The following is a 16,706-nucleotide window of genomic DNA, read 5'->3' as shown; positions in this document are numbered from 1 at the left end:
TTTTTAACCCAGTTGGGGAGTGGAGTTAAGAATAATAATGGATGGAAACAGTGGCTGGCACTTACTGATTACCAACATTGTACCATGCACTGTACCTCACAGCTACCCTTTGCTACCCTTAGGTGGTAGGTTATACCCACTTTATGGTTGAAGAAGCTGAAGCTGGAGAGGTGAAGTGTTTGGCTCTGAGTCATAAAGCAGATGTGGTGGAGGAAGCATTTAAATCTACCCAGGTCATTCCACTTATCCTGTGCTGTATTCATTTATGACTGCAGAAGCCCCAGTTGTTTTGAGGCTGTGCCTGCAGTAAAGCGTCAGCATGATGCTTCCTGCTGTTTCTATCCTCCTGCCTCCATTGGTGAACTCCCAGTAACTAAATATCAGTGATTGAAAATAGGAAGCAATTTGTAATCTGGATTGTTCCTAGACATTGAATGGATCTAGTTAACTCTCTCATCTTCCAGGGAATTTCCGTTTTAATATCTTTTGGGGAATGTTATAAAAATAGATACTTAGGTAAGTAATATTTCTCAAGATGACACAAACCCAGAAAGAATTTTACCTGCAGGAGATGTGTGTGGTTAAGGGGCCCTGGGTGAGGCATTTCTGGTTTAAAATGTAGATTAGAAACTCCTCTGATCAGACAACAGCAAAACTGAAGCCAGAGAAGCCTCAGCCCCTGGACCAGGTTGTCTTTCCAAGTCTGCTGGTTGCTGTGGCCAAGTTGAGGAGACCATTGTTTGTTTTCTCTAGATTGGAGAGCTGGATAGCCATTCTGTATGCAGACTGAGACCACAGCCAGTCGTAAGCAACTCTATTAGTGGGAAGAGGTCATCCTGTCTAGAAAGCAAGACTTAAACTTTAGAAAGGGAATTAATATTTTTCTGTTCTAGTAGCATAGCTGGATTTGGCCCTTAGAATTTATTTTCTAGTTAATTTGGGGTTTATTCTGGAAGCATGCATACTATGTAATAAAAATACGTTTTTAGAAGAGTACTTTTTATTTAACTCATATGGGAGAAAAAGGATAAACCTTTGCACTTACTGACTAGACAAGTGTGATTCGTTCAGGGCATCGAACGAAGTAGGCTAACTGGTATTACATTAGTAAGAACATAATCCTTGTTCTTACCCAAAAAGAGAAATAATTATACTACCAGATTTTAGTTGTCTATAATTTACCTATTCTAGAGTAAAAGCTGGTGACAACTCCTGAAGTTCTACATTTCTGGATTAAATGATAATGGTCTTAGATTTATTTTTATCTCTGCACATTTATTTCAAAATCTTTTGTTTAATTCCTTGCTTCAGCCAAAACTGTGAAAATGCAAACTCGATCATGTCATCTCTTGCTTTAAATCTTGCCATGGCTTCCCATCCTTTCGGGACATCCCCGCCGACCCCCTTCAGTGCGCTTTCGGTCCTTGAGGATGTGCTCATCGGGCTCCTGCTAACTTCTCCAGCTCCAGCTCTCCTGCCTGACGCTGTGCACAGCCTGTGGCTATTGATGCCTGTAAGAGACCACCCCCTATTGCACCCCCTTTCTGCCTAGTTGACATCTATGCATACTTCAGGGAATACCCCAAGGACTGGTCATGTTCACCTGTTCTATGCTGTCAGTGCATCTTGTACTTATTCCTCACAGAACTTTTCAGTCATAGTCAGTCCTGTGAGCTTTATGCAGGAAGGAATTTGGTTGGCTTCCTAGCATTTTCAAGATCTCTCATGGCGCCCCTTGGATTGCATGCATGTTTTCATGTCTCATGTTCAGATGCTAGGATCTTAGCATCAGTGTTCTTGTGGCATTCCTTAGTATAGAATGATGAAGACATTGGCATTTATTACTGTGTGCTTTCGTTTACAAAAACTGGGTTCTAGATGCATAAAACATACGGTTTGAGTAATTTAGCTCCCTATTTTAATGCTTAAATCAGCATGACTTGGGATCTAAAGGCCAGTTTTCCTAAGCACCCTACTGGATCACTGTGTTTCTTAATGTGGAGTGAAGTTGTCTGTACTTAACTGGTTCCCAGAGATGTCCTGAGATCAGTGGTGTCCAAGCATTCTACATACCAGCCCTACTGCATTCCAGATATATAAACATAAATATATATGTAATCTTCTGAGTAAAATGTTAATCTTATGAAAATGGGTGCGTGACCTTTAAAAAGTTTTATACATCTTAGGTATACCTGTTTTCTCTTCAAGTACGTATAATTTCCCTCTCAGCTTCAATGGGAATATTTGCTATTTAAGGTTCTTATTTCCCAGGGATCATTTAAAAATTTTAAGTTGTGAAGTTTTCATCAGTAATTAGCCATTGCTACTGTCGTTCATACAAATCATCATATAATTTATTGAACAAGAAGATAAATGACATCTAAAACATTGATAATTCAAGGTACATTTTTCTCTAATTGCATTTCACTTGATATCTTCAGACACAAATTAGGTATATTAGTGTTGGTTGCTCTCTCAGCACAGATGCAGAGACTTCTTTTGTCTTGACTGACTAATGCTTATGACTTGATCCTTAATCTTTCTTTCCCTAGTGTTTGCCAAGTACACCTGTAAACAGATCTGCATGGTATTTGAGAGTGCAAGTGTAATTGCTTTAGATGAGGCCCTGGGTCCTTGATGAATTCAAAATGCTTTCAAGCCTTGTCACTACTTGTCACCCTTCTCAGCACTCACTTGTGCCAACTGGGTCAGGCCCAGAAGAAAACAGAGTTGTGTGTGTGGCCATTGTATCGTTTCTGCTTGTTTAACCTTTGACGTCAGAAGGTAGGACACGGGAAGAGGCCAGTAACTACTACACTCTTGTGAGGGAACAAAAATTATCTTGGCACCAAGTAATGGTGCCAAGTTTATTGAGTTGAGAAATCCACAGGTATTTAGCTGCCCAGGAGAGGCACAGAATATAAATCTTACGTAGAGGGACCAGGTACTATCTTTTGCTATGATGAAGTATTTTTTGTTTTGTTGTGTTTTTCCTTTTCCTATCAGGTGTGAGAATTGCCAAGAGTGTTATGTTACAGTCTCTTGGCATACCCCAGAAGGTGCATCATTTCCACAGTATAGACCAAGCGAAGCACACAGGCAGATGGGGGCAGGGATGGAAGGTGGGACTGTGCCCACTGCATGTAATAGTCCTTCCCCCAGATAGCTTTAAGTAAACTAAATTGTAGAAGGTTATCTCATTTTTATCTTATTCATGCTTTCATTCTTTTAAGGAGTCCTCTTGTAACGTGGGTAATCCTTGTAGCAATAAAACATGTCCTCTTCCAAAGTAATTTTTTAAAAATCTTGTTATATTACATTTTCCTAAATGGAGGTATGTACTTAAGACCCCTGAAAACTGGCTTAGCACTTACTTTTGGTGTGAAGAGCTAGTTCTTCCCTAGAGAGCCCAACTCTGGAGCCAGGTGGATTGAGTGGGAATCCTAGCTCTGCTAAAGGGACGTACTTGCCTAAGTCTCCTCCTCAGTAAATAGGATACTAGTGATAACATCTTCATAGAGTTGTCATGAGAATTAAATGAATAATATATGTAAAGGCTTAAATCAGCACCTGGACTACATATATAAGGTGATCAATAAATATCTACTTTGGTATCTGAATGCTTCAAGATAGCCTTTTGTTCCCTTCTAAAAAAGAGTGGGTAGTGATTGTTAAGACTTACCCGCTCATAAATGTTTTATTACATACTTAATATGTGAAGCTATCAAGTAAGGAGGTAAGGAAGTATGTTAATAGGGAAGAAGATGATAAAATACCCAAATAGGAAACCATAATGCCAACTTTCTAAGCTTAAGCTGACTGTAACAAAGAACTGGCTTTGTAACAAAGAACAAGTCTTACTGGCTTCATGCAATGCAAACATTTTTTTCTTACGTATCTGACAGATCAAGGTGGTCAGGTAGCTCTCCTGAGCAGTTTTCCACCATGTGGTGATTCAGGGATCCAAGCACATTCTATCACGAGGCTTAGCCATATTGGAGTTTTTCACTTCGGTGATGAGGATGAGGGAGAAAGTGGGAGAGAGTGAAAAGAGGGAGAAAGGTGGAAAAGGGAGAAAGAAGGAGAAGGTGGAAAGGAGAGAGAGAGAAATTGAGAAAGTGAGAAAGAAAGAAAAAAGAAAGAAAATGTGCTGAAGATTTTGTAAGCGATTTTAGAGGTCAAGCCTAGAGGTGGCAAACACATACCATTTCTGTACCCACTCCGTTTTCTAGAACTAGTCACATGACTCCAACCTACCAGCCAAGGGTTCTGGGGAATCAGATCTCCCTGTGTGCCCTGTAATGCAAAGCAAGATAGTTGAGTTTCCGTGGTGGAGTCCTGGCACAACAGTTAACCATGTGACATATTTTCTGTTAGTGGCAGACATTTCCTGTAATTATTCTATTTGTATGCTTCACTGTAAACTATTTTTGAAATTCTCTGTAATGAATTCCAGAACCAACACATGACCCAAGAATTTACAAATCATTATGTTTCTTTCTCATTTTAGAAATTTGCAAAAAGTGAGGGAATCTACTGAGATGTGTACTTCTGAACATTTTGATGTTGTACAGATAGCCAGCAAACAAGGACTCTAGGTGACAGTATCTTTTTTTTTTTTTTGTGACGGAGTCTCACTCTGTCACCCAGGCTGGAGTGCAGTAACATGATCTTGGCTCACCGCAATCTCTGCCTCCTGGGTTCAAGCAATTCTCCTGTCTCAGCCTCCCGAGTAGCTGGGACTACAGGCGCCCACCACCACGCCTGGCTAATTTCTGTATTTTTAGTAGAGATAGGGTTTCACCATATTGGTCAGGCTGGTCTCGAACTCCTGACCTCAGGTGATCTACCCACCAAAGTGCTGGGATTACAGGCGTGAGCCACCACATCCCCCCACTCGGTGACAGTATCTTAATGACACCCTGACAGGCAGGGTTCTATTAAAGAGCAGGTTTTTATGCTTTTTACCTTCCTGGTAGTCAGTAAATGACAAAGGCAAAGAAGTTAATGATCCATTGAAATTATGTCAGACAATCTAAGAGTAGAGATTTTTCTTTCACTGCCCCGTAATAAATATGGCTTACTATTGCAACCAGAATTTGTACTCAGCTCTGATGGGAAAGATAATGGCAGTTTTCTGTGTCTTATACCACCAAATAAAGAGACTTACTACTGCAGGTTTATTAATAATATTTTCCTTGAGCAATTCTTTTGAATCATGATTGGCCTCTGTACAGATCAAGCAGTTTGTTTATAAGAACAAGCCTGGGGCCAGGCGTGTTGGCACACGCCTGTAATCCCAGCACTTTGGGAGGGCGAGGTGGGTGGATCACCTGAGGTCAGGAGTTTGAGACCAGCATGGTCTCAGAGACATGGTGAAACCCCGTCCCTACTAAAAATACAAAAAAAAAAAAAAAAAATTAGTTTGGTGTGGTGGTGGGCTCCTGTAATCTCAGCTACTCAGGAGGCTGAGGTAGGAGAATCGCTTGAACCTGGGAGGCGGAGGTTGCAGTGAGCCAAGATTGCGCCACTGCACTCCAGCCTGGGTGACAGAGCGAGACTCAGTTTCAAAAAAAAAAAAAAAAAGAAGGCAAGTCTGGGAGAGTTTACAGCCACATGGACACACCTTGGGGCCAGGCTTAACTAAGCTTCAGAGTTAATGTGTACCTTACGTTTTTCAGTGTTTCCTTGGTCTGTGGATTGATTTTGAATCCCATTTCTTCTGCCAGAGTTTAGCTATTTAACACATAGGGAAGCAGTATGATTTTATGGTTGATCAGGTGGCCCACAGCTTGAGACTGAGTTTGAATCCTTATTCTGCCACTTAACCACCATGTTACCATGGGCCCTATATGGTATTTGTTTGCTAGGGCTGCCTAGGTATTTGTGGTAACAAGCATCACAAACTGGGTGGCTTAAACAACACAAGTTTATTTTCTCACAGTTCTGGAGGCTAGAAGTCTGATATGACTGTATCAGCAGGGTTGGTTTCTTCTGGGGCCTGTCTCCTTGACTTGCAGATGGCTGTCTTTTCCTGTGTCTTTACATGATCTTCTCTGTGTGTATGTCTGGGTTCCTATCTCTTTTTATAAGGTGACCAGTAAGATTGGATTAGGAGCTATTCTAATGACCGCATTTTAACTTATTTACCTCTTTAAAGACCCATTTCCAAATATAGTCACATTCTGAAGTACTGGGATAATAAAGGTACTTCATGATGTTGTGGTGAGCATTTGAAGAGAGGATGCATATACATTTCCTTACACATTACCAGGAATATGGTGACTACTCGCTACGTATAACTATTTTTATTACAATTATAAATTGTATTCTATCTGACTGTCTTCTTTTCCAATTGTGAGATGGCTGTCTGCATGGCTTTTCAGTTACTGAGGCCTAGGATTATTGTCATCTTTCTTGCGCCCTCATAGCATCTTAAAATGCTGCCTTCAACAGAGTAATAGGGCAAAAGCCCAAGGAATGTTGATCAAGTGGGTGGGTATGAATTTTGTGCTCAGGATTTCTGAGTGGTCTTCTGTGGCTGTTGCTTTGGTGTCACACCATAGATGGCTGTGAAATGCTCTCAGACTTCTTGGTTCCTGGAGTGGCCTGCCCAAAAACTAGACGAGCACCTGGAGAAGAGTAATCTCTCCATGTCAGGGGCAGGAGACAGAAGTTGTTGTGCATTGTCAGGGGAGAAACTGTAAAATCACAGAACCAGATCACCAAACATAAGAATTATCCAAACGTTGGAGGTGATTTTTAAATCAGGCAGTGTGTCAAAGTGATTGGCTTTCCTGCAATTATTAGCTATCCCCAACATTTCTGGACTTAATGAGAATTGATAGAATTATTTGATGCTGGTATTATGGTAAGTTATCATCTCATGCCCAAAGAATTGACTGTTCTCAAAATTTTTGGTATTTCTTGTTTCAACTGGTATAAATGTTCTTTGCTTTAAAAAGTGTTGCTACTGTCACAACCCGGTCACAGCCTTTGTTAAATACTAGCAAGCAGGGATCCACTAGGATCAGAAGAAGAAGGCCAGATTGCAGTCTCTGATATAAGCTGTCCAAGGAGGCCAATATGCAGCCCATCAATCCGGAGAAGCATGGATACGCTGGGGAATAGTGGGCTTATTAAGTCTACACCTGGCTATAGCATCCATCCATAGCAGATGAGTTACACAGGCTTCATTAACTAGACACAAAGGGTATATTATTCATACATCATGCTACATTCCTGTCGGTGAATCAGCTCTTAAACTGTGAGTCACGGACACCACCACCCTCACCAACTAGTTCCTTTATCCTCTTTCAGATCAGCTACTGAATCTGGTTAATTTTTCTTTTGAAATACCTCTGAAAATGTTTATCTTTTAGTAAAAGATTTTAAATAATAACTATGAGGACTGTCACAAATAAATAGTGTGATACAATAAGAAATATGTAGTTGGTCTTTGTCCCATCTTCCTGGAATACAGCTCCTAAAACCTTTGGAATCTCCAGAATGATGAGTGTCTTTTGTATGGTAGTGAGAAGGCTGGTAGCTGGGGACCCCTAGACCTTCAGGATGGGGGCTGAACATGATTAAGATTAAGAAAGACTGACGTGATTAGAAGGTTGGAACTTTCAGCCCCATCCCTGACCTCTGGGGAGGAGAGAGAAGCTGAAGATTGAGGTAATCACCATTGGCCAGTGATGTAATCTCTCATGTCTGTGCAGTGCAATCACCATAAAACCCCCAAAACAATAGTGTTTGGAGAACTGCTGGGTTGATGAACATACTGAGGAGCTGGGAGGGTGTTGTTCTGTGCACCCACACTCTGCTTCCATACCTTGCCCAAAGCATCTCTTCCATTTGGCCATCCTGAGTTATATTCTTTATGATAAACTGGTAAACCTAAGTCAAGTGTTTTCCTGAGTTCTGTGAGCCATTTAAGCAAAGTATGGAACTGAAGAGGGGGTCACGGGAACCCCTGATTTATAGGTGATTGGTCAGAAGTGTACGTGGCAACCTGGAACTTGTGACTGGTATCTAAGTGGGGAGCAGTCTTGTGGGACTGATCTCTTAACCTGTGGGGTCTGTGCTGACTCTGGGTAGTGTCAGAATGAAATTGGATTGTTGGACACTCAGTTGGTATCTGAAATGTTGGAGAATTGGTTGGTATGAGGAAAAAATCCACACATTTGGTGTCAAGAGAATTGTGACTGACATCAATGCAAATATATATAAAAATGTGAATTTATATGAAGTTACTTTTAGCTGACCGTAACATAATAGGTATATTCATTGCTGTGGTTTGGCTGTGTCCCCACTCAGATCTCATCTTGAATGGTTATCCCCATAATCCCCATGTGTCTAGGGAGAGAGCTGTTGGGAGGTGCTTGGATCATGTGGGCGGTTTCCCCCGTACTGTTCTCGTGATAGTGAAAGAGTTCTCAGGAGATCTGATGGTTTAAGGAGGAGCTCTTCCTCCTTCACTCCTCACTCTTCTCTCTCCTGTCACCATGTGAAGAAGATCCTTGCTTCCCCTTCTGCCATGTTTGTAAGTTTCCTGAGGCCTCCCAGTCATGTGGAACTGTGAGTCAGTTAAAAGCTCTTTTATGTATAAATTACCCAGTCTTGGGTATTTCTTTATAGCAGTGTGAAAATGGACTAATACACCCACTGTTATGACGATAAAGGCTGAAACATGTCTTATCAGGGGTGGATGAAACATGGAATTAAGTAACTGATTTAATGTTACCTAATTTTTCTGTAAATTTATATATCTTTCTATTAAAATTAAAAAATACACAGCAGGAACAACAACAAAATCCTTCCTTATTAGTCCCTTGCTGTGCATTTTCACTGTCCTCGCAGGCCCCATCTCCTATTGTGGGGAAAAATCCAACCATATCTCCTGACTGCTGTCTTCCCTTCCTTCCGTTCATTCTGTGATTGCTGGTTTTTCTTTCCTTAGTTCTTCATTTATGTTTCTCTTTCTTAAAAGCCCCCTGCAGAGTTGCCTTTAAAATTTTATAATTGGTTTAATTTTTATTTATTTATTTGGCAGAGAAGAGCAAGTTAGTACCTTGTACCAAAACATCAACCTTGTGGAGCCAAGATTAATTCAGCCATATGAACATGTTATAAAGAACTTCATCCGTGAGATCAGACTTCAAAGCACAGAAATGGAAAATTTGGCCATTGCGGTGAAGAGGTATTGAAGTCCTTCCTTTATAAGTGGCCTGTGGGTGCTTTAACTTGCTCTCTGACCTGGGTGGCAAATGGACTGAACTGCATTGTCACACTATGATATAGGTGGACTTCCTGAGCCTGAGGAGTCTAGAGCTTTCAAAATTAAGCCAGCAATGGAGAAGTAGGTCAGCTACCAATCAATCAGTAGATCATCATGATCCTATTATATAAACTCTTCAGGATCAATGATGACTTGATACAGAACAATTAAGAGATTTATCTTACATCCAGCTGCTTAAAACACACAGGAAACTTTTATCTAGAGAAGTAGATGGAACACTATTTGAAGCCTGGCCTTGTTACCTACATGTATGAGACTTTGTGAGCAGGTTACTTAATTTCCCTGAGTCTCAATTCCTGCAACTGCAAAATGAGGATGAATATCTTCACGTCCTCCAGGTGTTAAGACTTAGTGGATGATGTCATGGGTGAGCCCTGCACACTGCCCACCACATGGTGGGTGCTCAGCAGTGCTGCTTTGACTCTCTCTACTCTCTAGCCCTCCTCACTTGGCCCTCCCCCTTTGAACTGAAAGCCAAAGAACTATTAAACTCTTACTCTAATACAGTCCATTTAAGCCATAGCTAGCTTACATAGGATATCTTTTTGGTGTTAACAGCTATGTCATGCAAAAAAAACAATTTATATGTGTTGCAGTCCAAACGTCAGCCTCTTTGCCCCCTGGAAAAACTGCATTCCTTTAGCATGTATTGGGAAAGAGAGGGCATTGTGCTTGTCACAGTTCTTGTGTGTTGTGCCACACGGATGCTCCTTGCTGTCGTGTGCTCCACCAAGAGCTCCCAAGACGCTGTGCACCCTGCTGGTTTCTGCCTGGAGCTTATAGATGCAGCCCTTTTAATAGGAGGCTGCCCTGTCTACATAGGGGCGGGTGACTTGTCTTCAATTCTGCTGTCTCTTTATCCTTCCCATCCACATGATGCTGAAACTGTCTAGTTGAACCTTTGGTTCATTACGATGTAGAAAAGAAAATATTTTAAATTCTTGGTATGAAATAGGACCTTTCTTATCGTCCTGGAGTCAAGCCAAGGTTGATCTATTCACAAGGGATTTCTTATGAACATTTTTAGTACTTGACTGACCATTTTTCTCTCAAATTAGCCTTCTAGGGGCCTTCCAGGAGGATAAAGGGTGGTCCTCAGAACTCCAGAGTCTGTAGAGCATTCTGGAGTGTGGGTCAGAGTCCCAGAGTTGGTCTCCTTTGAGATGGGACAGGCAGACACACACATTGATTCTTCAGAGCATCCAATAAGTATTAAAACAGACAAACTCATAGGTACACACATAGGTACACATACACAGACCCACACAGAGATATGTGGGTACACATGCATACACATGCCCCCCATCTAAAGATAATACCATGTAAACCTATGAGGAAAAAAACAGACTGGCATGCTTGATGTTCTCATTACCAGCTAGGCTGCTTTTTCATGGTGGAGTGAGTACATCATATTAATTTGAGCTGTGTTGGTGTCCCCATCCACTCCCTTCTGTGCTGCTGGAGGGATCCAGAGCCAGCCTCTATGCTGAGCTGAAGTCTCCTAAAGCCTCCTTTCTTAGCTACCAAAGACCTCAGGAAGTGTTTAAATGGCTACTTGTAAACCATTCCTTGCATGCTTAGCCATCCATCCTCACTGCTATTTTTAATTGGGGGAGGGTTTTGGCCATTTTGTTCTGCACTGCACCTGAAGAAGGGGTTCCCAGTGTCCTGGAGGGAGCCCCGGACTAGGTCACAGTGGGCAGACATTTCACCAGAAATTGGAAATTGCTGGGGCAAGCACTCTGTGATTATGCATCACCCTGATTTACAAAAGAAGAAAAATGTTGCTCAGAAGTGAAAAGGGCAGAGAGAGTCCATTACGGAGCAGTCCCAGATGCTTGGGATTGGATAGCTAGAAGAAGTAGGTGGGAAATTATCATAACAGAGGGAGAAAGGATATGTGCCTTAGCCATTTACAGTCCCAGAGTTGACCAAAAAACCGCCAGACATTGCTATGGAGATACACAGTTTCTAGACTTCAAATAGCAGGTATTTATAAGCAGAAATGAACTGACTTCCCAAGCTTGGTTAACATAACCTCGGACAGGCTATAAGATGAGGAAGAAGTAAATAGGAACAGAAGATAATAATGTTACTGAAAATTTTACTTTGGGGTCTTTTTCCTCCCATAATACTTCCTTGGAGTTTTATGTGGAAGTTGAACCAATGCATGAATAAATTGTGTTGTGTGAGGGAGTAAATAAGTCAAAAGCAGGTAAGTTGCTATAGCAGAGACCCATCAAACTAGAAGACAGAAAATCTTATATTTAAGCCCTGTCATTTATTAATAGCATGTCATTTGTCCGAATGAATCACCTCTAAAGCTCATGGTTTAGATGCAAATCAATGTGCTCTGTCTCCATAGAGATGTGATTTATAATTGCACTCCTAACAGAAACATAATTTTTCTAAAAGGTAACCTTATCTACATTCTAGAACTTTAGGGGACAAATAAGAATAATGATTGAGATCTTTTTTTCCCTTCTCACTTTAACATATAACATTGTGAGTTTTATATAGTGAAATTTCAAAATTATATATAACCATCACTTTGCCACAGAGTTCTTTTTTTAATCCAGGGTTGTAACTCAGTCATGAGAGCAAAAAAAAATTCAGAATTTATTGAGAGCCTCCCAGCACTTTGATATCTTTACTGTTTGCCACAATCTAGTTTAATATCATTTTATCCAATTTATTAATTTATTTAATATAGTCAGGTACCACATCACAATGTTTTGGTCAATAAAGGATTACCTAAATGACAGTGGTCCCATAAGAATATAATCCTATACTTTTACTGTATCTATTCTGTGTTTAGATACATAAATACCATTGTGTTACAGTTACTTCCAGTATTCAGTACAGTCCCATGCTGTTCAGGTTTCCAGCCTAGGAGCAATATGCTATTCCATATAGCCTAGGTGTGAAGTAGGCTTTACCAGCTGGGTTGGTGTAAATACTCTTTATGATGCTTACACAATGACAAAAATCTCCTAAAGACACATTTCTCATAATGTATACTAGTTGTTAAGGAATGCATAACTGTATCTAGTTTTAAAATCATTTTACACCAAAATGGTCGAATTGCCAATCTCATTTTATTATGTAGAAGGAATGGGAAATCATTTTGAATGGGGTGTTTCTCTTCATCTGTAATATATAGGGCTTAACGTAGATGAATCTGAAGTTTCTCTTCATGTTTCAAGTTCAAGAGTATAATGAAAAGGTGTGCATCCTTTTGAATTTCAGAGCCCAGGACAAGGCAGCTATGCAGTTGAGTGAGTTGGAAGAGGAAATGGATCAGAGGATTCAGGCTGCAGAACATAAGACACGGAAAGACGTGAGTTTCTGGGTTGGCCATTCATTCAGCAGATCTTTATGAGGTGGTTTCTACGGAGAGGGCCCAGGCACTCTTCTGGGTGTCATGCAGGGGTACAGCAAGTCCAGGTTTCTGCAGAGTCTCCCAGCAAAGGAATTTTTACTGGTGGTGGTTTTTGGGGATGGGGTAAGAAGAAGTAGAAATAATAAATAAGCAAAGCAAATAAGTTCAGATAGTGACAAGTGCAGTAAAGAAATAACATGTGCCATAGTGACTGGGGGAGGAGGCTGCTTAGGTTGGGGGTAAGAGGCCTCTTTGAAGGGGTAACATCAGAGATGAGGCCTTAGGAGAAGGCAGAGGCAGCCTTCATAGAGAAGGTGGCTTGACTTTCCATACCTGTGTCTGCCCACACCTGCTGCCCACTTTAAATCTAGATTAGAGTGAAATTAAAATTCTGTCTTCAAACTTTGGTGTTTTATAATGGAATACAGTCATCACTTGGTACCCAAGGGGATTGGTTCCAGGACTCCCCTGCAACCCCGCATACCAAAATCTGCATGCTCAAGTTTTTATATAAATGGTGTATATTTACATACAACCTATGTATATCCTCTAGTATACTTTAAATCATCTCTGGATTACTTATAATACCTAATATTTAACACAATGTAAATGCTTTGTAAAGAGCTGTTACACTGTATTTTTATCTGCATCACTTTTACTGCTTAAAATATTTTCGGTCTTTAGTGGTTGAATTCGCAGATGCAGAACTTGTGGATATGAAGGGCTGATTGTATGCCTTTATTCAGCATTATAGGAACCATTTAAAGTTGAAAGTGATATGTTACCTTCAGTGATTTCCATTGAAGAAATAATTTTTTTATAAAATATTTTTGGGTGATTAATGTTTATTGAAAACAGAAAATAGACAATGCTAGGTTAAAACTTCCACTTTTGTTTATTAATTTGCCCTGTTAACACTGAGTGGCAGCAAAATAATGTACAAGTGGCCTGAACATTGGCATCTGGGAGACCTTAGTTTGCATCCTGGCCCAGATTGTATCTAGGTGGCATTGGGAAAATAACCCAACCTCTGAGCCTTTGTTATTCCATCTCTAAAATGGGATAATGCAACCTACCTGCCTTCACAGGGGTTAGACATGATGATCTATATAAAGTGCCTAGCACGGTGCCTGCAATGTAGTGGCTGCACCCTGGTTGTTACTGTCCTGCTTTTTCCTGTGGCTCTGTGTATTCCTGATTCCTTTTAGATTCTTCACCTTAAATGGCTTTACCACATATATGCCCTGGGGTGTCTTTGTTGTCCTATCTTCTTATAAAAAGTTTAATAAGAAGCTGGACGTCATTTTCAACCACATAAATGGTTTAAGGTTCATGGTCCAGCTTCAGAGCAATGGATAACCCCTTCTTCAGCTAGCACTTTCCTTTTGGTAAAAAGGAAAGAGTGAAATCATTTTTCTGCCTTTTTTTCTCTCCATCTGCTGTGTTTAATCTGTGCACAAATTCATTCATCAAACACTTATCAAGCACGTGTTATTCTGTCATCATATCTCATTGCTTCTTCCAGATAAATGCCTCCCAAATTTGTTGCTGGTAATGGGGATATTACCATGGCCCCCACCTTTTAGAATTTCATGTTTTGTTAATTACAGGATCTTCTTTAGTTTCCTTGGCTTCAGTCCGGTAGTGGCAAACCCATGCATCCACAGCATCATTTCTCTATTCCACAGCAATGACACATGTGGCCTGTCAGTCACCACATACATGTGGTCTCCACACCTCAGCACGCCAGTCCAGGACGTCACTGCCAGCTGAGCAGCTTTGGCACTGCGAGGAAACTTGTTTGCCTGTCCATCCTAGTGTCCGCCTCACACCTTTCTAAACACAGCCTCTCTGGAATAATGTGCCCAGGCCAGTCTAAGATTTTTCCCTCATTTCCTTCCATTCCACATGGCTCCCCTCGGCTCCCCAGGGTTCTTCGCCCCCAGCCCTGGCCCAGTGGCCTCACTGTGCCTGACCCTGCTTTGGCTCCAGCTGTTTTCTTTGTCTTGATGATTATCTCTTCACTCCTTTCCTTCTTCCCAAATTCTGCAAAGCTCAGAGGAACCCTCACTTTCTTCTTGATGCCCTGCCCTGCTCCTGTAGCCACATTCACCTCTTCCTGTCCTTGACTCCTATGGCATATATAGCATATATTGCATTACTTCAGTTAGTATTTTTTTTTAACTGTAACAGCTTTATGAAGGTATAACTGGCAGGCAATAAACTGCATATAAAGTACAGTATATGTGAAGTTTGGACATATGTATGCACCATGAAACCATTCCCACAGGCAAGATCATGGGCATAACTATCCACCCTCGAAGTTTCTTCATGCCCCTTGAAGGCATAACAAGCCTTCCTTCCTCCTTTCTTTGCCCCTTTTTGCCAGATAATCATTGTTCTATTTTCTGTCGCTGTAGATTAGTTTGAAGTTTTCAGAACTGTATAGAAGTGGAATCATGCAATATATGCTATTTCTTCTCTGGCGTTTTCCACTCAACATAATTGTTTTGAGACTTATCCGTGTAATTAATAGTTTGTTCTTTTTCATTGCCAAGTAGTATTCTATTACGTAGGGGTACCACAGTGTTTAGCCATTCATCTGTAGAAGGACATTTGAGTTATTTCCAGTTGTTGGCTATTGCAAATTAAGGTGCCATGAATATGCATGTACAAGTCTTTATAGAGGCATATACTTTTATTCCTCTTGAGTAAATTCCTGGAGTGGAATGGGTTGATCATCTATGTAGATGAATGTGGATTTTTGTAAGATACTGCAAACCTGATTTCCAGAGTGGTTGTACAGTTGTATGATTCAATCAGCAGTGTATGAGAGTCCCATTCTTTCAGCATTCTAATCGGTGTGTAGAGGAATCTCACTGTGGTTTTAACTTGCATCTCTCTAATGACTAGTTGTGTGGAGGATCTTTTCGTGGGTTTATCTGCCATGTGTATATATATATATTTTTTGCTGAAGTATCTTATTAAAAATCTTTGGCTCATTACAAATACAGTTTTTTTTAAAAAATTACTATGTTTTGAGAGTTCTTTTATATTCTGAATGCAAGTCTTTTATCAGATACCTGATCTATAAATATTTTCACCCACACCGTGACCTGTCTTTTCATTCTCCTAACAGTAAGAGTATAAATTTTTAATTTTTTATGGACCATACTTTTTTTCATGGACCATACTTTTCATGTGATCTTTAAAAATCTTTAACTCAAGATTTTCCCCTGTGTTTTCTTCTATAAGCTTTATTGTTTTAGGTTAAATTCAGGATCCATTTTGTATTTGGTGCCAAGATATGGATCAATGTTCATATTTTTTTTATGTAGATATCCAATTGTTCCCACACCTTTATTAAACAAGACTAACCATTTTCCACTGAATTGCCTCTGCACTTTATCCAAAATCAGTTTATTCTATTTGTGTAGGTTTATTTCTGGGCTCTCTGTTCTGTTCCATTGATTGATTTGTCTATTGTTATGCCAATATTACATTGTCTTGATACCTATTGGTTTATAATGTCTTGATACCTGTTGGTTTATAAGTCTTGATACCTATTGGTTTATAGTATGTCTTCATACCTATTGGTTTATAATAAGTCTTGAAATCAACTAGTATTAGTTCTTCTTCAACTTTGTGCTTTTTTAAAAGTTGTTTTGCCTATTTTAATTGCTTTAGTTTTCAAAGAATCAGCCTTTCAATTTCTTTTAAAAAAAAAAGCAAACAAAAACTAAAAGTCTGCAGGGAGTTTGACTGAACTTCATTGCGTCTATAGATCAATTTGGAGAGAATTGACAACAGTATTGAAAATATGATTTCTCTCTCTATGTCTTCTTTCAGCAATGTTTTGTGTTATTCACTGTACAGATCTTGTACATCTTAGATATACTCAGTATGTCATAGTTTGATGATACTGTAAATAGTATTTCTAAAAATTTCAATTTCTGATTGTTCATTGTGAATGTATAGAAATACATTTGATTTTTGAGATTGGTCTCGTATTCTGTAGCA

The 16,706-nt window shown here is 40.1% G+C and overlaps 1 protein-coding gene across 5 annotated transcripts in view; it reads left to right on the top strand.

Annotated features, from left to right (window-relative positions):
- The window catches only part of RASEF (RAS and EF-hand domain containing), a 239,635-nt gene that overhangs the window by 184,245 nt on the left and 38,684 nt on the right, over positions 1-16,706 (top strand). For all 5 annotated transcript variants that reach the window (XM_047422827.1, XM_005251730.5, NM_152573.4 and 2 more), the window contains 2 exons: positions 9,059-9,205; positions 12,554-12,644. In XM_047422827.1, the coding sequence (XP_047278783.1) occupies positions 9,177-9,205; positions 12,554-12,644 (120 nt within the window). In that variant the 5' untranslated portion in view covers positions 9,059-9,176. The remainder of the gene's footprint in view (positions 1-9,058; positions 9,206-12,553; positions 12,645-16,706) is intronic.

The sequence above is a fragment of the Homo sapiens genome, chromosome 9 (genome assembly GCF_000001405.40).
Source record: "Homo sapiens chromosome 9, GRCh38.p14 Primary Assembly".
Lineage (NCBI taxonomy): Eukaryota > Metazoa > Chordata > Mammalia > Primates > Hominidae > Homo > Homo sapiens.
Note: the sequence above shows the minus strand (reverse complement) of the source record. Positions and strands in the feature narration are given on the sequence as shown.